Here is a 25,541-nt window from a genome sequence, read left to right on the forward strand (position 1 = left end):
AGTTCTTTGTTGCTGGAGTAAAGACGTGTATGTACTAGAAGTCAAGTCCTACATGGACATGAGACTGGCATGTGTCTTTTATACTAAATAATGAGTCCGCCCTTAGTCCTAAATACCACCATGAGAACAGAGTTTATAAAGTTAGGACTGACAAATGCCCATTTGTTTATCTGAAGGTAACTGACAGCTGTAGGGAGACTGGACTGAAGTCACGAAAATGAGAAAGCTGGTATAGAAGTCTAGAGACTGGAAACAGTGGGGCTTGAAAAAGGCAAGGACAATGGAGTACAGAAATAAAATTGGGTATTCAGGTGATGTCTTGAGATAGAATCAGCATGATTTAGTGATGCATTAAACATGGGACGGGAAGGAGAAATGTGATAATTCCAAGGCTCCTAGCTGAGATCCCTGTGGGCAGTATACCGATAACCAAAGAAAGAACAGAGGAGTTCAAACAGTTTCACAGGGAGATTGGGAAGGTAACAGGATTAGGCTTTGGCAAACTGCATTTGAGGAACATGTGGAATAGGCAGCTGGAGATGTCTAGCAGCCAATGAAAGTGCAACCTCAAATTACATTTGCTTTGTAAGCAATCATGACCCATCATCAACTGACATTCACATCTTTTAGGATGTGTATTGTTATCAAGCACTTTTCCCACCCCTCCCATTGTCCTGAAAAAAAGCTTTTTATTATCCTAACTGGGAAACTTATCTAATTTTCTTATAAACTTTTATTTTGTAGATTTCTATCTGTCAAGATAATTTTGCATCTTGATAGACAGAAAACTTCTTGGTTAATCACAGATTTCAGCTTTTTGCTATTCACAGTCTGATATTCTGGCACTATTTCTTTACCCAAGTGGTTAAAAATGTTGAGCAGGACCAAAAGCAAACACTAGGGCTCACCAGCAGTGAGGAGTTGTGATTATTCCACATTTCGTGCCACGCCTTTACCCCTAATCTGCTTACCCTTTTCTACCTTGCTTTTGCTCCAGAAATTTACTCTTACTGACTACATAAATGGAGCACTTTTTCCCTTTGGCTTCTGGTTGGATCTGCCAGTGGTAAGACACAGGAAGGGGATCTGAGAGTGGAAGCAGGGAGAGGTCAAGATACTGTTTTCTCTACTCTCTCTCTTCCTCAACTTTGGGGGCTCTGTCAGTGGTTGCTTTTGTCATGCTCTCCTCCTTTCTTGACTCTGTCACTGGGCTCTAGTGACATCATCATCTCTCTTTAGCCTCTCATGCCCATGGGCAGTAATGGGTTCTGAGTCCCTGGGTACCTCAACATACTTGTTGGTTCCCTTGGATCCACTCACATCTATGCACAAAGACCATTACATTCTATTCAAAATCTCAGTGGAGCATCTTGTTTTACTGCCCTGGTCTGATGAGTACACTGCCACTGAATACGACATTTCAGATGTCTCTATTATGTGACTTTTCAAAATGATACGGTGAAGTTATTATTATAGAGAACTTATAATGTTTCACTTAAATAATTCTTCATCATCCCAACACCATTTGTTACTACAAAATGATATAGTATAATAGCTTCAAACAATTTAAGGGGAAAAACCCCAGCTGTGATCAGAGAGTGCACAGTGCATACACACTCCAAACCCTCACCTCCATTAGTTCGTTATTTAGTTGTTATTTCTCCATTGTGAAAATCATGATATAAGTTAAGAGCAGCTGTTTGAAGTAGAAATAATATACCAACTTATAAATGTCTCATCAAGGGTTACCATTTGCAATTTAGTCATAAGAGGTCACTCCACAGCCCCAGGGTGCCCTGGGCACTGTTTACTACATAATGAGCAACTAGGTTACTCTGATCATAGCTACTACCTATCAAATGTGATCCAGCTAAAAGAGATTCAGGTGTTTACAATCTCAATCTTATTGTTTGCACTAATGTTAGTAGAAAGACAAATGTATTTGGCATCAAAAGCTTAGGAGTAAGGGTCTCTTCCTTGCCCTACTAAGGGTGGGCAAGGGCTTAGCTGCTCAGACCATAGAAGCAATGTTCAAATAGTCAGGGTTCTTGGAAGATTCTCTATTTGCTATTTAAATCACATCAGTCCCTTGACTGATGTATCAAATGTAGTGAAATTAGGGATGATGGGTAGGGAGTTGGGGCTAGAGGGGAGGAAGGACATAATTACTTTAAACTCTTCTGGTGTAGAAATTTTCATCATGGTCCATTCTTTTCTTCCACCATAGGATATTCCTATTCCAGTTTTCTGAGAACATAAATGGCTGTTTGGTCACATCAAAAATTCCCAATCCCAAAGCCAAAGGCATTATTAATAGCCAGTATGATTCTAGAAAGCTGAAAAACAGAAAAAAAAAAAAAAAAAAAAAAAAAACTGAAGCCACTTCTGCCAGGATCAAATAGTAGCTTGTCAATAGTGGAGCAACATTTAGAAACGTGGCTATGTCTGTTACTCAGACAGTGACATGATAGGGAAATTCCAAGTGGCAATAATCTTCATTTATTCTCAGAGTTGTGAAAACAATACATAGCTTTAAGTGCTTTAACAATGCTTTCTTAAAAGGTTATGTTATGTAGATGATGTTCAATGAAATTAGAACGGCTTTCCTTGTATAATTAGATGTCATATTACTCAAAATGGAAATTTAGGGCTTTCTCTGTTGGAAATTTTAAAAAAAGCCTTCAGGAAGTCTTATGTGTCCATCTTTTATGTATCAGTTGAAATACTTTTATTACTCATATTGAGATTGCTTAGTTCCCATGATGAAATTTGGGTATTACATTATTAATAAATTAACTGTCTTTTTCTTAAAACTTTGAAAGCATCAATATTATGTTTCTATAAAAATCATATTTTTCCTGTTACTTTCTGTATTTTTCTACAATCTCTTAGAGTAAAATTACCTTGATCTTTTCCTTTAATGCTGTCTTCTTCATTTTTTTGCTTTCTTCTATTGAATTTTGCTTTCATTGGCTAAAATAGAAAATAAATAGAAATTTTAAAAAGATTGCAATTTACACTCATCGAGCACTTGCTATAAGGCATGCACTATGCCGACCCCTTTGCATACATAGTCTGCCACAACTTGGTTATTCCAAGATTCTATGGAAGAGTGTCCTACTTTACATTAAACATTTTTTAGGACTTAGAGAGTTAACTAACGCATATAAAGTAATACAGTAAGTGTTAGAGTTGAGATTACACCTCAAACTCATCTGAGAGCAATGTTTTCCAGTCTTATAAAAAATTTGTTACTACTTGTAATTATTTCATGGCACTTTGTGTCTCTTGCTCAAAGTAAAACCAAAAAAGAAATAACTGCATAAAAATAAATCTTGTGGAACGTTTCATATTTTGCTTCTTAAAGCAAAAGTTAATTTACATTTTATGTTTGTGACTACTGATGGACCATTTTCTCCTCTGAAGCTCAAAGGTTTAAATTTCTCTTTAAAATAGCTTAAACCCTTCAAAGATGAAGAAATAATTTCTAAATCCATGTTTCTGATTTTTCACTTAAAACATTCTGTATTCTACATATGCCTCCTAATTTTTTTAATTGAGGAAAATCACCTTTTTCCCCAATTGCAAAACCATCTTAAAATATGACATATTTTTATTCATTGATTATCAGTAGAGCAATCTATTCCATGAATTATACAATTTGTATAAGTTTATCTTTGAAATTGAGATTTTTTTGCTTTTGTCGGGTATTCACTATAAACCAAAATTTGATGGATTCAATAAATTAGCTTTCAGCAAGCAACCTGCTTGTGAGGAATAAAGGACCCAATTGGTCAGCTCACTGAAGCAGTAGTGGATGTAATGGTGCCCTCATGGCCATTCAGTAAATCAATTTCCTGATAAATCTTTGCTTACAGAAAATACTTTAAGTATCAAGACAATATACCATATATTGGCCTAGATTCTCTCTGGCCATCTCTCAAGAGGACGTTTGACCTGAAGCTTTGAGAGTTTGTTTGAAACTTTGAGATATTTCTTGGTCAAGGATAGTATAACATAGCCCTTGTATAGCAGTCATCTTATTCCTGATTATTACAGGGCTAGACTACATTATAGATTACAGGCTAAAATTTAGGTATACCATTAGTGAAGGACACAGTTTAGTGTAGAGGTTAAAAATGATGGCTTTATAGTAAAGCTGGATTCGAATCCTGGGCTTACTACTTATTCTCATTGTCACCTTAGACAAATTACCTAATCCTTTTAAGTATTCATCTTCTCACTCTAAATAGATTAAGACTACCAATCTTACTGAGTTGTAGAGCATAGAAAATAGTCTATGTCTGGTACTTAGCACAGTGTCTGTTCTGCTTTGTAAAGGTCAGCTTTGACTTGGACATTAAACACAACATCTGTAACCATTAATGCAGCAAATTAGCCCATGGTGCTAACAACTGTATGGTATGTGGTCAATGCTCTATGGAGGCCAATCAGCCTTACTCTGATTCATGGCCTCAGCTTTACTCGGCAAGGGCATAAGTATGCCAGAATAAATCTATATCCATTACTGGAGAAAAAAATCAAAATGTCTGCCCCAAGGCTGGTCAGTCAGTAAGGTCAGCCTCATACATGAAGAGCAATATTAATGTTAAGTCCGTCTGCTCAAAAATAAAATGTTCACTTGCAGTTAACTTTGAGGATTGGGAGAAGTCAATGAATTAGCAGAATCTTAAGAAAGAGCAAAGTTAGATTGGAAAGGAAGTTCACAGTGAGTAGATTTCAAGCAGGAGCTTGGTGAGGCTACTGCCACAGAACTAGTTATAAGAAGGACTAAATATGACTGGAATAATTTGGATCTATGATGTCAATTAAACCATACTGTCATATGAAATTCCTTACAAAATTGGAGATGTGTAAATTGGTTCCCTTTCCAATAAAGAAGCACTCTTGAGTAGAAATTTAAAACAAAGCCAAAAGATAAACACTCTTTACTGGTGATTATTCCACTCTCGCCAAATGTTGTATAAATAATAAAATGATATTAGTTTCAGATTATCAGCTTGCCAGAGGCACAGAAGAGCAAAAGCAAACATCTCCTGGTAATGTGGTTTCCTTGATGATGTATGAATATAATAGCGAGGTGCTAATAGGAAGAGAACCTATGAATAAAAGGATTTGATTTTTTTCTGGTTTCTGCCATTGGCGAATCCTTTGGCACAGGCAGTGTAAGACGTACCTTGATAAGTAGTGGGGATGATGCTTTACTGAATTAGTCTGGTGAAAAACAGACCATAATATCATAATTTACTTATCATTTGGGGCTTACCTCAATTTAAGAGCTCTTGACAGCTACAAAAACTCATCAGGTTAACTCAAAAATCAAATTATCATCTTGCTTGCCTGGAGAAGGAGAACAAGCATATTCATCATCATTTAGAATTTTTTTAACAACACAGATTAACAATAAAGTAGTATCTCACATCTTTAAAGTATTTTACACTCTCTTGGGTGCTTTCACTTGCAGTAGCTCTCCGACACGCAGAAGTCAGGAGAACCAAGAAGATTACCTTCCTAACTATGCAGCTTTATGGAGACCAGGATGAGCTAACAGGAGACATGGTGAAGGGTGCATTCATGAAAAGCACACGTCACAGTGTCAAGTGTACTCGGGAAGGACTCACAGAATTAAAACACATTTTCTGTTTTTTTTTTTTACATTTAAAACTTTTTATTTTATTTTATTATTATTATACTTTAAGTTTTAGGGTACATGTGCACAATGTGCAGGTTAGTTACATATGTATACATGTGCCATGCTGGTGTGCTGCACCCATTAAATTGTCATTTAGCATTAACTATATCTCCTAAAGCTATCCCTCCCCCCCCCCACCCCACAACAGTCCCCAGAGTGTGATGTTCCCCTTCCTGTGTCCATGTGTTCTCATTGTTCAATTCCCACCTATGAGTGAGAATATGTGGTGTTTGGTTTTTTGTTCTTGTGATAGTTCACTGAGAATGATGATTTCCAATTTCATCCATGTCCCTAAAAAGGACATGAACTCATCGTTTTTTATGGCTGCATAGTATTCCATGGTGTATATGTGCCACATTTTCTTAATCCAGTCTATCATTGTTGGACATTTGGGTTGGTTCCAAGTCTTTGCTATTGTGAATAGTACCGCAATAAACATACGTGTGCATGTGTCTGCCTGACAAAAAAAAGGCCAAAACTATTTGGCCCACCTCTGCAACTGAAACCACAGTTCCTTCCCATTCACAAAGGCTGTATTTCCCTTTATTTTTCTTGCTCTCCATTGTGCTCCTTTTTTCAAAAAAAAAACTCATCTGAGGGCAAGATCAGGAGCCTCTTGCGGCCACAGAAACACCCAAAGTGCCTGCACCAATACAGACTTTCACAAACATCAAATATGAGAGGAATTAAAAAAATGAGATTTTTTTCCATTTGGTCTTTACTGAATCTTCAGTCATTTTAGGCACATGACATTACTTATTTGTGTCAATTCTTACCTCCTTTCCCTCAACCTTTTCCTTCCATAAGTTCTTCAAGTATTTGCTCAAATCTTACCTTCTCAGGGAGGTTTATCTTTTGAAACTTGCACACATCCCTTAACATTGGGTGTCTGTGTGTGTGTGTATGGTGGGGGGTGATGATCCCCTGTCTCACTCTAAATTTTTTCATCACCTTCTAAGGTAGTATATAATTTTTGTATTTATGTTTGTTGTTCACAATCCATCTCTCCTCACTAGAACGCAAACTCCAGGAGGGCAGGGATCTTTGTTTAGTTCACTGATGAACACGCAAAGAAATATATGTTGAGTGGAAGAACAAACCAATGGTTTTCTTTTGTCCTTCTTATAGGTAACTCAATACTAACAAGCATCCCAACCAACTCTCATTTTAAACTTCTAGAAGATGGCCAGGGAAAAATGTTAACATGCATTTGCTGAACACATCTTATTTTGCAGAGAGGAATAGAAGCATATTTCAATAGAGATGTGAAAAAGCTGCTGAAGGTCTAGCACAGAACTTACTAATAGTGTGTAACAAATTATTGGGTTTTAGAAATTCAATTTAGTTCTCAACATGTGCCGCTTCACCACCTGCATACACATGAGTCACACCCACACCCGCTCTCTCTGCCAGCTCCACCTTTTATCCTCCCCCTCATTAGCCAACACCTAATTACATACTAATTGGCTCAGAGAACACAAGCTTGTTATTGCACTAAAAACACTCAGAGCTCCCCCACAGACAGATTCTCATGAAAACCAAATATAAAAGGAGTTGGCCCACTGCCTGGTTTTCTTCTAGGTCCCGGACACACAGATTAGTGTTTGTTTTCAGGCTTCTCCTAAGTCATATTTTTCAGGGGCACATTTCAATACTCGGTACCAGCCAATGGGACCAACCAGATTTGAGTTTCTCATGCGGGCAGCAATTTCAGACAGAAAGGACCTTTATAGATGACCTTAATTGTTATGTGAATGGTTCATTAGACAGAGACACCTGCAGATCACCGGGAACATTTCTTCATTAAGCTTACTATTGTTCCCCTTATGTGATCCCTGAACATCAAAGTGTTCAAACTGCAACTCTCTAGGATTAGATAAACTGATTTTATAAATACATTAGGAACAAGAACATGTAGCTCTCTTTGCTGAAATTCATTTTTCTTCCAATGGAAAACACACCAAACCATTCCCACCATCAAAACACAACTAAATGAACTGCGACTAATGACAGAATATTAGGAGTCTGAGTGGAGATGGAGTTTTGTGAAACTGTGGGTTTCTTTTTTTTTTTTTCCAACTAGAATCTGGTACTGTAATTACCAGTAAGGATAGGTTCAGACACCTGGAGGAGGAGACAAAAATATAGAACAGAGTGTCCACATTGGCTGCATACTGCTCTCCCACACTCCCCTAGTGTGGGCGAGGTGGGGGCGGCACCAGGGGGAAGATGCTTGCCATGTTCGGAAATGGAATGCCGTATCAGGGCAGGAAGAATTAAGAACAAGGAGGGAAGAAACCCTTCAAGCTACATCTGTCTCCCAAAAGGAGCCACAGACCAGCTCCAATTGCACATATAAAGGAGATGAAGAATTTTGGAGACAGTCCACTGCAAATTGTTGTTGCTTTGCTTTGTATGATTTTTTTTTTTTTTAGACGGAGTCTCGCTCTCACCCAGGCGAGAGTGCAGTGGCGCGATCTCGGCTCACTGCAAGCTCCGCCCCCGAGTTCCCGCCATTCTCCTGCCTCAGCCTCCTGGTAGCTGGGACTACAGGCGCCCGCCACCACGCCCGGCTAATTTTTTTTTTTTTTTTTTGGATTTTCAGTAGAGACGGGGTTTCACTGTGTTAGCCAGGATGATCTCGATCTCCTGATCTCGTGATCCGCCCGCCTCTGCCTCCTAAAGTGCTGGGATTATAGGCGTGAGCTACCGCGCCCGACCTGTTGTTGCTTTGCTTTGATGGTGTGAAGCAGGGGCTGAAAGATGGATTCCCTACTTGGATAAGCCGAGATTCTCAGAGTATTATTTAATCAAACTTCACTACAATGCAGAGATCTCTTACACAATATCTGTGTCAGATTATTATTCTATCTCTGAACAACTTTAGTAGTGGGAAACCTACTTGATAATCCAGTCCTTTTGAGGAAAGGTTGCATTTATATATACACCTTTAAGTATCACAGATACCACAACGAACAATTGTATGGGTTTATGTTCTTTTTCATTTAAACCTCATGCTATAAATTCCACATTCTAAGTATTGTTAATATTGTTATTATTATTAAATGAATAAACAAATAATTAATGTACAAAGGGTGGTACACAGTATCCAACACATGGTAAGGCCTCAGTAACTATTAGTTGAGTCAATAAATCTTTTTAAAGCACAGTGCCAGTTTCATATGTGCTAGAAACTTATTTGGTGAATGTATTGGCCCGGGTTCTTAGTTACAGACAATAAAACTCACTTTAGCATGTTTAAACGGAGATAAGAGTCATAAACAGCATAGAATCATTGAGTAGCCTGAAGAAACAGACTCTTTGTTTCCAGGAAAGCCCCAAACCGCACCACACAACTGGGCTTTTACTTGTGCTGCTGCTGGATCCAATGGTTCAGGGTGAGAGAGTTCCTGCTGCCTGCTCTGGAACCATACCAAGTCTACCAGGGTGTGCATGGCTGACTGAATGCCTTTCAGCTGTTTCTCTCCACTCTTAACTACATTTCAAATTAAAACCCTGCATGAGTGTGTCTGATTGGTGGACTCTAACAAATCAGGAACCTCCTCCACTGGAACCTTAGAAATAGACTTTTTAACGTTTCATTTGTCTAAACACATCAAGTGAGTTGACCATTCACAACATCTGCCACAGTGGGGTGGGAGCTGTGAGCAGGGACCTGAGCAATAGCTCATGAGGACAACGGACTTGGGCAAACTGACTTCTTCCCAGGCCATCAGCAGTATCTGAGCAATCTGGGATGAATCCCACAAATTCATAAGATTTGCAAACAGTATGAACTATTCCACCAACCTCTTCACCCTCTTGTTCTCCCAACATGATGAATGTGTGATTCATCATGATCTGGTCCTGACATTCACTTCTGCCTATCCTTACCTAAAAATTAATATCAACACCTGCTTGGAGTCCACTGAGCAAATACATTGCCATTTCTTGCCTTTGCATCTTTATGTTTATTGTCTCTTTGCTTTATTTCCTTTTCTTTCTGTGGGTTTTCCTGATTCAAGGTCAAGTTTGGGCATTACCTCTACTAGAAAGCCTTCCTTAATTCTCCAATACTGGGTCAGTTGTCTCTGCCATAGTATCAAGTGAATTATCTTTGTACTTGTAATATTTAATTATCATCATCACTTTGTGGGTGCGTGTCTCTCTCATTGTATTGTGAGTTCCTTGAAGGACAGGTCTACAAATTATTCATCCTCCTTTTGCATTGTGAGCTCGTTGAAGGACAGGTCCACAAATTATTCATCCTCATGTTGAAATATAGTGTCTAACAGTATTCATCAGGGATGGATAACTCCTTTAACAAACAATATGAACATTGCAATGGCTTGACTCAGTAAATATTTATTGAATAAACATCTATTGCTTACTCACATTATCGTTCAATTTGGGTCAGTGGAGGCTATGCTCCACCCAGTCATTCAGGAACCCAGGCTATTTTTATGATTCAACTCTGCCATATTTTAGACTTCTATTTTCTTCTCCTTTATAAAGGAAATAGAAAAAGAAAAAAATAAATAATTGTGGCAGAGGTATACTACTTTTTAGATGGTAGACCTGGAAGAGGTATATATGACTTCCGTGTGTGTTCCTTTGACTAGAACTTAGTCTCTTGTCCCCACTAGAACTTAGTCTCTTGTCCCCACCTAACTGCCAGGGAGTTGGAAAATGAAGTCTAACTGTGAGGTCAGGAAGAAGAAGAAATGTCATTTAGTTAACGCAAAGGATTACTTATACCACAATACACATTTCTGGCCACCAAATATCATTCTTTCTCTCACAGGAGAGACAACTCAAAGTCCCATTCAATCATGGTGTACAGCTCAAAGTTCAGAATCTCTTGGTGATGCTCAGTTCTCTCCACCATGATCCTGTAAGTTAAGAATTAGAAAGACAAGTTTTCTGCAAGTGCCACCCCATTCTAATCTTATGCACCCAATGTACAGTGGTACAACAAGAACAAAATAACTGCAATAATATCTCCCATTCAGAAAAGTGAAAAATAAAAGATGCAGCAGTAACTTATTCATAGCATATAAAAATCCTTTAGGCCAGGCGTCAGCAAATATTTTCCCCTCCCTCCCTCACTTCTTTCCTTCCTTCTTCCTTCCTTTTTTTTCTTTCTTTCTTCCTTCCTCTCTCTTTTTCTTCTCTCTCTCTGTCTCTGTTTCTCCTTTTGAGATGGGATCTTGCCATGTTGCCCAGGCTGGTCTTGAACTTCTGGACTCAAGCCATCCTCTCACCTCAGCCTCCCAAACAAATGCTTTCCTAAAGAACATTCAGTTCCTATTTCCTAAAATGGCCAATATTTTAGGTTTGCAGGCTATATACTGCCCACTGCAATTACTCAACTATGCCATTGTAGTTCAAAAGAAGCTATGGAGAATATATAAAGCCCCGCTATATTTCAATGAAGCTTTATTTATAAAAACAGTACACATGCACCTGGCCTGTAGTCTACAGATCTATGCTTGAGACAAACATTCTGAAGTCTGCCTAACTTAGAGATGGGGAGAGTTGCTTGATTAGGGCCTGATCTCCCTTTTTGGGAAGAATTCCAGTGTCCATTTTTCCTCCACAGCATCTGGCTCAACAGTAAGAGATTTTTTTTTGGTTTATTATTCTACTGGACCATATCTGAAATGGGAATTGAGGAATATGCACAACTTTCTCAACTGCTTCTAGCCAGAGCAAGTGGAAAACATAAAGTTTGTTTTATAGTTCGGACCATCAAAGACTCGTGGTGTCTTTGGCAATATGATTGTCTCAACAAATCAGTAGGCTTCTGATTTATTTGGTCCCAGTCAGTTCCACATGTAAATGACTATACAGAACTTTTCTAATCATAGCTGTAAAATATGCCTTATTTTAAAGTTTATTTTCCTCATGTCTTTCTCAGTTTAATAAATTACCATAATATCATCCAAAACAATGATTAGGAAGACCACACTAGTGCTGTGCAGTTGGGTTTACTGTAGGGTTGATCAACTGAGAATGTTTCCTGCTGCCTTGTTGGTCAAGATCTTTTAATTTTTTATCTTACTAACTGGGATCTGAAGCAATCAGCTGTTCTCTCTAGGAAGCTTCATATTTCTGGACTCTGTATTCCCTTTCATTTCTGCTTAAAAATAAGATACTGAAAACCAATGATAATAAAAATATAGTGATACTCTAATGCTAATCACTTCCCCTAGAGCAACAGATTCAATAGGTATATGGATTATTAATAAATTCCTAGGGCTGCCATAACAGTATCACAAATTGGGTGACTTACAACAATAGAAATGTATTGTCTCACAGGTATGGGGGCTAGAAGTCTGAAATCAAGGTGTTGGCAGGGTTGGTTTCTACTGCAAGGGTCTGAGGGAAAGTCTGTCCCATGCTTCTCTCCTAGCTACTGGTGGTAATCGGCAATCCTTGATGTCACTTTGGCTGTTGATGCATTGCTCCAACCTTTACTTATGTCTTCGCGTGGTGTCTTCCCTATGTGTGTTCACATCATCCTCCCTCTGTGTATATGTATCTCTGTCTGTGTCCAAATTTCCCTCTTCTTATTAGGACGCCAGTCATGTTGGAATAGGGCCTACTCAAATAATCCCTTCTTAACTTGAGTACAGCTACAAAGATCCTAGTTCAAAATAAGGTCACATTCACATGTACTAGGGATTAAGACTTCAACATATTGGCCCAGCGCGGTGGCTCACGCCTGTAATCCCAGCACTTTGGGAGGCCGAGGTGGGTGGATCACAAGGTCAGGAGATCAAGACCATCCTGGCCAACATGGTGAAACCCTGTCTCTACTAAAAATACAAAAAAAATTAGCTAGGTGCAGTGGCAGGCGCCTGTAGTACCAGCTACTCAGGAGGCTGAGGCAGGAGAATCACTTGAACCTGGGAGGCAGAGGTTGCAGTGAGCTGAGATCGTGCCACTGCACTCCAGCCTGGCAACAGAGCGAGATTCTATCTTGGGAAAAAAAAAAGAAAAATACTTCAACATATTTATTTTGGGAGACACAATTCAACCCATAATAGCATATCATCTGTCTTCCAAGTTATTGCAGGTGACATTTTTTTTTGTTTTTGTTTCTTGTGAGACAGAGTCTCACTCTTTTGCCCAGGCAATAGTGCAGTGGCATGATCTCAGCTCACTGCAACCTCTACCTCCCAGGTTCAAGCGATTCTCTCATGCCTTAGCCTCATGAGTAGCTGGGACTACAGGCATGCACCACCACACCAAGATAATTTTTGTATTTTTTTTGTAGCAGTGGGGTTTCACCATGTTGGCCAGGCTGGTCTTGAACTCCTGGCCTCCAGTGATCTGCCTGCCTTGGCCTCCCAAAGTGCCAGGACTACAGGTGTAAGCCACTGTGCCCAGCTGCAGGTGACAGCTTTACCAAATGTTTTTGACACTGCATGAATTATCAATATTCCAACCTCCAGTATCATTTTCCTTACCATGTACTATCTGACTGCTAAGCCAATTTCACACATTTTAGGTTTTGTTTTGGCAGCACCCTTTTATTTTCTTTCTTTTTTTTGAGATGGAGTCTCACTCTGTTGCCCAGACTGGAGTTGCAGTGGCACCACCTTGGCTCACTGCAACCTCCGCCCTCCGAGTTCAAGCAATTCTCCTGCCTCAGCCTCACGAGTAGCTGGGATTACAGGTGCCTGCCACCGCACCCGGCTAATTTTTTTGTATTTTTAGTAGAGACGGGGTTTTACCATCTTGGCCAGGCTAGCTTTGAACTCTTGACCTCGTGATCCACCTGCCTTGGCCTCCCAAAGTGCTGGGATTACAGGCATGAGCCACCTTGCCTGGCCGGCAGCACTCTTTTCAAGCAATGAATACCTGTCTTATCAAGCAAGATAGGTTGACTGCATAACAATGCCAAAATTTCTGTGGTTAACCCAGTAAAAGTTTATTTCTCACACTATATCCAATGAGGACCAGTGGGATGCTCTGCTCCACACAGTCATTAGGGAATCCAGGATCCACACATCATGTAGCTCTGTCATCCTCTGTTCATGCTCCTCTGCTTTCAGAGGGTGGAAAGAGAAAAGTATGGAGGAATGAAGGTTGGAAAGTAAAGCATGCCACTCCCACTGATACTCAAGTAGACAAAATGAGTTACACATCCCAAACTAGCTGCAGGCAAGACTCAGAAATGTGAATAAATTGTGTGCCCAGGAGGGAAAGAAAGAGAGCCTGGTAAACACACAGTCTTGCATTTGCCACAAATACTTTGAAAATATCTGAAATATGCTTTTGAACAAATTATTTTAAACAAATGAGTTTCAACAGGCTCAAGTCAGTTCCTAACATTTGTTAATATTTGTGGCATCTCATCTGAAGGGACAAGGTGGTATATGCTATCCAGACTTCCGGCTAGCCCTGGCACCTTGTTTGTATCTTGAGTCCAGCTGTGAATCTGGGAGAGGCCTGACAGTCTTTTCTGACCCCATAGTTAAGCAATAGCTGGGAATGAGAATTCCTCATATCTTAGCTGAAGTTTGAGGCAAAATTCTAAACAAATGAAGATGGGTATGAAGAAATGTAAAAGACATGAATAAACCAAGGCCAGAAAGAAGTTAGGAAAAGAGATTAGATATTAGATAGAAAGCTTCAGTTCAATTCTAGAATTCTACTTATCTACATCTATTCACCCATCCATCAAAGAATGACTTTCAGATCCTTCTGATAATAGCCCACTTCCAACCTAAATTTTCATTGGTTTTAAGTCTGATTAGAGACAAAAATGTAAGTTAATAACTATTTTCCAGCTGAGCTGGAATGGTCAACTATTTTCATCATTATGGTTGCTAGATATTTTCCCCTAAGTATCTTATCTTTTGTTAGTCTACCTTTCATGGGGCCAAATTTCAGATAGGTATCTTGTTATCTTGTCTCATTAAGCCTTATTTCCAAGCCTCCCATGATAAGATGTCTGTCAGAATTCCTCATATGACATGGTATCTGTACCCTTCTTCCTGTCACTCTCCTAGGAATATGCTTTAATTTTCAAACTTCCTACTAAAATTTAGAATCTGGAAATAAATTCAGGTCCCTGTATGTGGCTGGACTATGGCAGAATATTATAGGAGTGTTGTTTTTCTTTGTATACAGCACCACTTTTCATTGTTTTGACCCCACCCTCAGTATACAATTTCTAAAAAAATTAGTTGCTTGGGACTCAAAACCACAGTGGTCATCAAAAACTTGGAGATTTAAAGCCTTCCCTCAGTGCTGGTATCATAATGGACACTAGGAAAACATCATTCCTATGCTTTGCCTGTCCAAAGTGAAGGCTACAAAATTTGTAGTACATACCACAAAGAATGTCTGGTTCTCCTTTTATCTTAACTCAATATTGCTCAATTTGCACTTTCTCAGCATCTTGTCCTACAAATGCATTAGTTAACATGCAATATTGTTTTCTACTATTACAGCTGATTCTTTTGAAAAGGAAAATTTCTATTGTTCTATTTCAAGAATGAGATATCCCCTCAAATCTCTCATTAATAACTATTTGTTTATATTTTCTTGGGATGTTAAAAGTTTCAGTGTTTTACTTATCTATATATCTATATATTATCTATCTATATCTTGCACATTGCTTTCTCTGTTTTTCTAGAAATTAGTTTTGATTTATTACTATTTCCTTAGAATGATTGGGCTTATTTTTCTAGTATATCTTTAGTCTTCCATGCTGCTGTTTTGTGTTTTTTCATAGACATTTTTTAACCACTATAGAAATATGTGAAGTTTGAAATCCTCTTGATTAAAACCAGTGATTAAAATACTAAACCTGACATTTTCAAGTTGTACTACATCCTTCCCTTGACTGGAAAAAGTAATGAAAACCTTTTCTGTACTTGAGTGGCAATTTCTTTAGTTGAGGGTTTCAACATTACAGAAATGACACTTTGTCTTTATATATGTATCATCCAGTCAGTGATCACTAAGACCTGGCAGTGGGTTTGATGGATTTCAACAGACTACCCAGGGAGTCAGAAACACTTCTTGTTACACTTCACATCACCACCACGGTATCCAGATAGTCGCCTGTTGCTGGAACTGATAAAAGCATTCTTCTAGCTTCACTGTAAATATACTTTAGCTTTGTGAAATATGAAACACATTTTTTTTTTTGCAAAGTCCAAAGCCACTTTCTATGAAAAGAACCTTGGCTTCTTTTTAAAAATATATATATTTCTGGAGATACAATTTACATACCATTAAAATATCCATGTAAGCATATAATTCAGTGGTTTTTAGTATATTCACAGAGTTATACAACCATCAGCACACTCTGATTTTAGAAAATTTTCATAAGCCTGAAAAGTCACCCAGGAAGAAAGGAATTATAGTCTGGAAAACGTTGTTATGGATACATTACTCTCTGCTCCTTCCTGATAAATATAACAATAAATCTGGAAAACAGAACAAGGGGCAACCAAGGGAAAACTTTGAAAAGTGGTAAGAGAATGACAAACTATTTAGAAACCCTAGGACTGGAAGAACAACACAGCAGTATGGTGAACTATTCCTTCTACCTTCACTCAGCTGCAGAATGTGACCGAGACCAGGCAATTTCCACAAAAGGCAGCCCAGGGAAGCTTATTCCTCTCCCTAGATAGAATGCTTATACCTCCAACAATACCATGTGAGCCCAGCACCACTGGTAAGTAGAATCAACTGCCCTGCAAATAGTAAGGGGCCAAGGGAAGTGCCCTCCTTTCACACCTGACCTGAGACTACTCCCCTGCTGAGAGAAACTGAGATGTCCTTGTGGCACCAACAAAAGAGACCCTGCCACAACAAGCAGCCTGACTTTGTACTTGTGAACCTGAGATTCCTCTTCCCTACCCAGAGACACCTGGGATGGCAGGGCCCTATCATGCTACTACAACAAGCCCCTGTCCTGGGAGGCATCTTCATCACCACAGTCCCAGTAGTCCTCCTTCAACACCCACATTGCCTCCCCATTCTACAACGAAGCACATCTAGCAGCCTGACCTAGGGAAACACTTTCCATCCTCTCAGAGAGCATTAGCAGGCACAAATAGGAACAATGGCAACAGATAAAGCAGACCAAAATAACATTGCAATGGCTCTGAAAATTAAACTGTTATTGGAACTACAGTCCATGAAGTAGGCCAGGATCTGCTTGCTAAACCTAAATGTGCTGATTTCTTGCTAAAATAGAACATTTCAGTAGAACCTAGAGTTTACTAGAGTAAGAGACAAAATATCCAGAATGCAATTGACAACCAAACATGATAATCAAGAATCAAGGAAATCAAAACTTGAGAGCAGAGAGATAATGAATGCCAGCACTTAAGTAAATCACACGTTGAAATTATCTGGCAAGGATTCTAAAACAATCATAATAAAAATGTTTCAACAATCAATTATAAATTCTCTTGAAACAAATGAAAAAATAGAAAATTGTAGCAAAGAAAGAGAAGGTATAAAAAAGAAACAAGGTAAATACAGAACTAAAAAATACAACAGAAAATTTAAAACTTACTAGATGGACTTAATAGTAGAATAGTGATAACAAAACATAGAATAAGTGAACTTAAAGTTAGAATGATAAAATTTACCCAGTCTGAACAACAGAGAGAAAATATACTACACCAAAACAATAAAATAGAAAATAGAACATCAGGAACCTATTAACACAATAACCAAAGATCCAACATTTGTATCATTGGAACCCTAGAAGGAAAGGCAAGGGAGGGAGCTAGACTGAAAGAAACTTTGAATAAATGATGCCTAAAAGTTTTCCAAATTGGTGAAAGACATGAATCCACAGATTCAAGAAGTTGAGTGAACCATAAATAATATAAATCCAAATAAATTATACCAATATATACCATAATTAAACTTCTGAAAACTTAAAACAAAGATAAATCTTGAAAGCAGGCACAGAGAAATGACACATTACTTACATGGGAATACCAATTTGAATGAATTTATTTTTGATATCATGGTGGTCAGAGGAAGTGGCACAACATTTTTCCTGTGTTGAAAGAAAGAACTGTCAACTGCAAAGTCTAAACTCAGTGAAATTATTCTTCAGGAATAAAAAGGAATTGAAGACATTCCCAGAGAAAGTAAAGTTAAAAGAATTTGTTACTAGCAAACATTCTCTTAAAAAGCTGAGCGTGGTAGCTCATGCGTGTAATCCCAGCATTTTGGGAGGCTGAGGCAGGCAGATCAGTGAGGTCAGGAGTTTGAGAGCAGTCTAGGCAACACGGTGAAACTCTGTCTCTAAAAAAAATTTAAAATTAGCTGGGTGTGGTGGTGCACACCTGTAGTCCCAGCTACTCAGGAGGATAAAGTTGGGGGATCACTTGAGCCTGGGAATTTGAGACTACAGTGAGCTGTGATCATGCCACTGCACTCCAGGCTAGGCAACAGAGTGAGACCCTGTCTCAAAAAAAAAAAAAAAAAAAAAAAAAGATTGGCAAATGAAAGTTACTCAAACAAAAAGGAAATCATAAAAGAAACAAACTTGGAGCATCAGAAAGGAAGAAAAACAACAGACAGCAGACATATGGGTATATTTTCCTAATGAACTTTCTAAACCATGTTTGAGGATAGAAGCAAAAATTATAGCAACTTCTAATACTCAAAACAATGATATTTAAAGTAGAAATGGTAAATAAACCTAAATGTACATAAAATTTCCACATTTCACTTGAAGTAATAAAATGTTGATACCAGTAGATTGTAAGTCAGTCACTGTTACAGGCTGAATTGTGCTTCCCCAAAATTTATGTGTTGAAGTCCTAACCCCCAATAATTCAAAATGTGGCTGTGTTGGGAGATAGGGCTCTTAAAGAGGGAATTAGAGGAAAATGAGGTCATATGTATGGGCTGTAATCCAATATGACCAGTGTCTTTATAAGAAGACGAGATTAAGACAGAGATGTGTGTGCACATGGAGAAAAGACCAGGTGAGACACAGCAAGAAGGCAACCAGCTGCAAGTCAAAGAGGCCTCAGAAGAAAACAAACCTGTTGACACCTTGATCATAGACTTCCAGCCTCCAGAACTGTGAGAAAATAAATTTCGGTTGTTTAAGTTACCCAGTCTGTAATATGTTGTTATGGAAGCCCTAGCTTGCTAATCCAGCCACATATGCATTTAAAAAAATATTCAGAGCAACCACTAAGAAAACTATAGAAGGAGATACACTCAAAGCCACTATAAAGAAATAAAAATTCTTTTTTCAAAAAGTTCAATTAATATTCAGGTAGACAAGAAAAAAGAAATACAGGAATAAGACTTAGAGGAAATAAACAGAAAATAAGTAATAAAATGGCAAATGTGGGCACTAAGTATCAGTAATTGCTGTAAGGTAAATGGTATAATTTACCATCAAAAGGCAGATATATGTAGAGTGGACATAATGAAAAAGCCAACAATATGGTGTTTATAAGAAACTAACTTCAAATTCAACAACATAGATAGATAGGATGGAAAAATATATTTAATGCAACCATTATTTTGAAAAGGGACATGCAGCCATATTGATATCAGATAAATTAAATTTCACAGCAAAGGAAATTACTAAATAAAAGTGGGACACCATGTAACGATAAAAGAAAGAGTCTACCAAGAAGACATAATGGTTTAAGTGTTTATGTACCAAGAAACAGTATGTCAGCATGTATGAAGCAAAAGCTGATAGAGCTGAAAGGAGAAATAGACAAATCAACAGTCTTAAATAAGGACTTCAACATTTCTTTTTCAGCAACAGATAGAACTATCAGAAAGAAAATCCACAAGAATATAGAAAATCTAATGCATGCAGCCAACCAACAGGATCTATTTGATATACAAAGCACACTTTACCCACCAATAGCAGAATCACACATTTTAATATGCCCATGGAATATTTACTAACATAGATTATATCCAGGACCATAAAGCAAACCTCGATGAATTTAAAAGAATTGAAATTATAGAGTACACTCTTTGATCATAATATAATTAAGCTAGAAAGACAATAGGAAAATCTCTCAACACGTGGAACTTAACAACATATTCTGAACAATTGATGGATCAAAGAAAAAGTCTCAAAGAAAATTAAAAACCAATAGAAGTGAATGAAAATGAAATGCAATATATCAAAACGTGGCATATAGCTAAAGCTGTGCTTAGGGTGGGTGGGATTTAAGGCACTAAAACTTGCACTGGAAATGAGGAAAGGTCTCAAATCATTAATCTAGGCTCTTACCTATGAAAATAGAAAAGATAGAATAAAATGAACCGAAAGCAATTTGGAAGTAAATAATAAGGATTAAAAAAAAACAACCAGAAATCAATAATTAGCACCCTCTGAAACCATGGCCCGAGCTGTGCCTTGGCCGCTTTTAGCCATTGGTAGAGCAGCTGGGATGCAGGGCACCAAGTCCCTAGTCTGCACACAGCAGGGGGTGCCCTGGGCCCAGACCAGGAAACAATTTTGTTCTCCTAGACTCTGGGCCTGTGATGAGAGGGACTGCCACAAACGTCTCTGGTATGCCCTGGAGACATTTTCCCTATTGTTTTGGCAATTAATATTTGGCTCCTTATTACTTATGCAAACTTCTGCAACCAGTATGAGTTTCTCCTCAGAAAATGGGTTTTTCTTTTCTATCGCATTGCAAGGCTGCACATTTTTCAAACTTTTATGCTGTTTCCCTTTTAAAACTGAGTACTTTTAACAGCACCCAAGTCACCTCTTGAATATTTTGCTGCTTAGAAATTTCTTCTGCCAGATACCCTAAATCATCTCCCTCAAGTTCAAAGTTCCACAAATCTCTAGGGTGGAGCAAAATGCCACTAGTCTCTTTGCTAAAACATAGCAAGAGTCACCTTTACCCCAGCTCCCAACAAGTTCCTCATCTCCATCTAAGACCACGTCAGCCTAGATTTCATTGTCCATATTATTATCAGCATTATTGGTCAAAGCCATTCAACAAGTCTCTAGGAAGTTCCAAACTTTCCCACATTTTCCTGTCTTGTTCTGAGCCCTTCAAACTGTTTCAACCTCTGCCTTTTACCCAGTTCCAAAGTTGCACCCACATTTTTGGGTATCTTCACAGCAGCACCCCACTCTACTGGTACCAATTTACTGCATTAGTCTATTTTTATACTGATGAAAAAGACATACCTGAGACTGGGTAATTTATAAAGAAAAAGAGGTTTAATGGACTCACCATTCCACATGGCTGGGGAGGCCTCACAATCATGGTGGAAGGTGAAAAGCACGGTCTTACATGGTGGCACGCACCAGATTATAAAGAAAAAGAGGTTTAATGGACTCACCATTCCACATGGCTGGGGAGGCCTCACAATCATGGTGGAAGGTGAAAGGCACGGTCTTACATGGTGGCACGCACCAGAGAATGAACCAAGCAAAAGGAGAAATGCCTTATAAAATCATCATTGCTAGCGCAGCAGTCTGAGATCGAACGGCAAGGCGGCAGTGAGGCTGGGGGAGGGGTGCCCGCCACTACTGAGGCTTGAGTAGGTAAACAAAGCAGCTGAGAAGCTCAAACTGGGTGGAGCCCACCACAGCGCAAGGAAGCCTGCCTGCCTCTGTAGACTCCACCTCTCGGGGCAGGGCATAGCTGAACAAAAGGCAGCAGAAACCTCTGCAGACTTAAATGTCCCAGTCTGACAGCTTTGAAGAGAGTAGTGGTTCTCCCAGCACAGAGTTTGAGATCTGAGAACGGACAGACTGCCTCCTCAAGTGGGTGCCTGACCCCCGAATAGCCTAACTGGGAGGCACCCCCCAGTAGGGGCAGGTTGACACCTCACACGGCAGGGTACCCCTCTGAGATGAAGCTTCCAGAGGAAGGATCAGGCAGCAACATTTGTGTTCAGCAATATTCGCTGTTCTGCAGCCTCTGCTGCTGACACCTAGGCAAACAGGGTCTGGAGTGGATCTCCAGCAAAATCCAACAGACCTGCAGCTGAGGGTCCTGACTGTTAGAAGGAAAACTAACAAACAGAAAGGACATCCACACCAAAACCCCATCTGTACATCACCATCATCAAAGACCAAAGGTAGATAAAACCACAAAGATGGGGAAAAAACAGAGCAGAAAAGCTGAAAATTCTGAAAATTAGGGCACTTCTCTCCCTCCAAAGGAATGCAGCTCCTCACCAGCAATGCAACAAAGCTGGATGGAGAATGACTTGACGAGTTGAGAGAAGAAGGCTTCAGATGATCAAACTTCTCCGAGCTAAAGAAGGAAGTTTGAACCCATCGCAAAGAAGCTAAAAACCTTGAAAAAAGATTGGACAAATGGCTAACTAGAATAACCAATGTAGAGAAGTCCTTAAATGACCTGATGGAGCTGAAAACCATGGCACAAGAACTACGTGATGAATGCACAAGCTTCAGTAGCTGATTTGATCAACTGTAAGAAAGGGTATCAGTGATTAAAGATCAAATGAATGAAATGAAGTGAGAAGAGAAGTTTAGAGAAAAAAGAGTAAAAAGAAATGAACAAAGCCTCCAAGAAATATGGGACTATGTGAATAGACCAAATCTACGTCTTATTGGTGTACATGAAAGTGACAGGGAGAATGGAACCAAGCTGGAAAACACTCTGCAGGATATTATCCAGGAGAACTTCCCCAACCTAGCAAGGTAGGCCAACATTCAAATTCAGGAAATACAGAGAACGCCACAAAGATACTCCTCGAGAAAAGCAACTCAAAGACATATAATTGTCAGATACACCAAAGTTGAAATGAAGGAAAAAATGTTAAGGGCAGCCAGAGAGAAAGGTCGGGTTACCCACAAAGGGAAGCCCATCAGACTAACAGCTGATCTCTTGGCAGAAACTCTACAAGCCCGAAGAGAGTGGGGGCCAATATTCAACATTCTCAAAGAAAAGAATTTTCAACCCAGAATTCCATATCCAGCCAAACTAAGCTTCAAAAGTGAAGGAGAAATAAAATCCTTTACAGACAAGCAAATGCTGAGATTTTGTCACCACCAGGCCTGCCCTACAAGAGCTCCTGAAGGAAGCACTAAACATGGAAAGGAACAACAGGTACCAGCCACTGCCAGCCACTGCAAAACCATGCCAAATTGTGAAGACCATCGATGCTAGGAAGAAACTGCATCAACTAACAAGCAAAATAACCAGGTAACATCATAATGACAGGACCAGATTCACACATAACACTACTAACCTTAAATGTAAATGGGCTAAATGCTCCAATTAAAAGACACACACTGGCAAATTGGATAAAGAGTCAAGACCCATCAGTGTGCTGTATTCAGGAGACCCATCTCATGGGCAGAGACACACTTAGGCTCAAAATGAAGGGATGGAGGAAGACCTACCAAGCAAATGGAAAACAAAAAAAGGCAGGGGTTGCAATCCTAGTCTCGGATAAAACAGACTTTAAACCAACAAAGATCAACAGACAAAGAAGGCCATTACATAATGGTAAAGGGATCAATTCAACAAGAAGAGCTAACTATCCTAAATATATATGCACCCAATACAGGAGCACCCAGATTCATAAAGTGAGTCCTTAGGGATCTACAAAGAGACTTAGAGTCCCAGACAATAACAGTGGGAGACTTTAACACCCCACTGTCAACATTAGACAGATCAATGAGACAGAAAGTTAACAAGGATACCCAGGAATTGAACTCAGCTCTGCACCAAGTGGACCTAATAGACATCTACAGAAATCTCCACCCCAAATCAACAGAATATACATTCTTCTCAGCACCACATCTCACATATTCCAAAATTGACCACATAGTTGGAAGTAAAGCTCTCCTCAGCAAATGTAAAAGAACAGAAATTATAACAAACTGTCTCTCAGACCACTGTGCAAAGAACTAGAACTCAGGATTAAGAAACTCACTCAAAACCGCTCAACTACATGGAAACTGAACAACCTGCTCCTGAATGACTACTGGGTACATAACGAAATGCAGGCAGAAATAAAGATGTTCTTTGAAACCAATGAGAACACAGACACAACATAGCAGAATCTCTGGGACACATTTAAAGCAGTGTGTAGAGGGAAATTTATAGTACTAAACGCCCACAAGAGAAAGCACGAAAGATCTAAAATTGAAACCCTAATATCACAATTAAAAGAACTAGGGAAGCAAGAGCAAACACATTCAAAAGCTAGCAGAAAGCAAGAAATAACTAAGATCAGAGCAGAACTGAAGGAAATAGAGACATAAAAAACCGTGAAAAAATCAATGATTCCAGGAGCTGGTTTTTTGAAAAGATCAACAAAATTGATAGACTGCTAGCAAGACTAATAAAGAAAAGAGAGAAGATCAAATAGATGCAATAAAATATGACAACGGGGATATCACCACTGATCCCACAGAAATACAAACTACCATCAGAGAATACTATAAACACCTTAACGCAAATTAACTAGAAAATCTAGAAGCCATGGATAAATTCCTCGACAGATAAACTCTCCCAAGACTGAACCAGGAAGAGGTTGAATCCCTGAATACAACAATAGCAGGCTCTGAAATTGAGGCAATAATTAATAGCCTAACAACCAAAAAACATCCAGGACCAGACAGATTCACAGCCAAATTCTACCAGAGGTACAAGGAAGAGCTGGTACCATTCCTTCTGAAACTATTCCAATCAATAAAAAAGAGGGAATCCTCCCTAACTCATTTTATGAGGCCAGCATCATCCTGATACTAAAGCCTGACAGAGACACAACAAAAAAAGAGAATTTTAGACCAATATCCTTGATGAACATTAATGCAAAAATCCTCAATAAAATACTGGCAAACCGAATCCAGCAGCACATCAAAAAGCTGATCCACCATGATCAAGTGGGCTTCATCCCTGGGATGCAAGGCTGGTTCAACATATGCAAATCAATAAACGTAATCCAGCATATAAACAGAACCAAAGACAAAAACCACATGATTATCTCAATAGATGCAGAAAAGGCCTTTGACAAAATTCAACAGGACTTCATGCTAAAAACTCTCAATAAATTAGGTATTGATGGGATGTATCTCAAAATAATAAGAGCTATTTATGACACACCCACAGCCAATATCATACTGAATGGGCAAAAACTGAAAGCATTCCCTTTGAAAACTGGCACAAGACAGGGATGCCCTGTCTCATCACTCCTATTCAACATAGTGTTGGAAGTTCTGGCCAGGGCAATCAGGCAGGAGAAAGAAATAAAGGGTATTCAGTTTGGAAAAGAGGAAGTCAAATTGTCCCCGTTTGCAGATGACATGATTGTATATTTAGAAAACGCCATCGTCTCAGCCCAAAATCTCTTTAAGCTGATAAGCAACTTCAGCAAAGTCTCAGGATACAAAATCAATGTGCAAAAATCACAAGCATTCCTACACACCAATAACAGACAAACAGAGAGCCAAATCATGAGTGAACTCCCATTCACAATTGCTTCAAAGAGAATAAAATACCTAGGAATCCAACTTACAAGGGATGTGAAGGACCTCTTCAAGGAGAACTACAAACCACTGCTCAATGAAATAAAAGAGGACACAAGCAAATGGAAGAACATTCCATGCTCAAGGATAGGAAGAACCAATATCGTGAAAATGACCATACTGCCCAAAGTAATGTATAGATTCAATGCCATCCCCATCAAGCTACCAATGAGCTTCTTCACAGAATTGGAAAAAACTACTTTAAAGTTCATATAGAACCACAAAAGAGCCCACATTGCCAAGACAATCCTAAGCCAAAAGAACAAAGCAGGAGGCATCACACTACCTGACTTCAAACTATACAAGGCTACA

General features: G+C 39.0%; 2 long non-coding RNA genes across 2 annotated transcripts in view; one reads left to right on the forward strand and one right to left on the reverse strand.

The window, feature by feature from the left end:
- Window positions 1-25,541, forward strand: part of LINC00534 (long intergenic non-protein coding RNA 534) — a 166,472-nt gene that overhangs the window by 133,155 nt on the left and 7,776 nt on the right. The window lies entirely within an intron of this gene.
- Window positions 1-25,541, reverse strand: part of LOC124901975 (uncharacterized) — a 267,232-nt gene that overhangs the window by 59,534 nt on the left and 182,157 nt on the right. The window contains exons 4-6 of the long non-coding RNA XR_007061002.1: window positions 5,288-5,361; window positions 2,904-2,973; window positions 2,170-2,336 (exon numbers count right to left, since the gene is read on the reverse strand). This is a non-coding gene — a long non-coding RNA (uncharacterized LOC124901975). The remainder of the gene's footprint in view (window positions 1-2,169; window positions 2,337-2,903; window positions 2,974-5,287; window positions 5,362-25,541) is intronic.

This window comes from Homo sapiens, chromosome 8 (genome assembly GCF_000001405.40).
Source record: "Homo sapiens chromosome 8, GRCh38.p14 Primary Assembly".
NCBI lineage: Eukaryota > Metazoa > Chordata > Mammalia > Primates > Hominidae > Homo > Homo sapiens.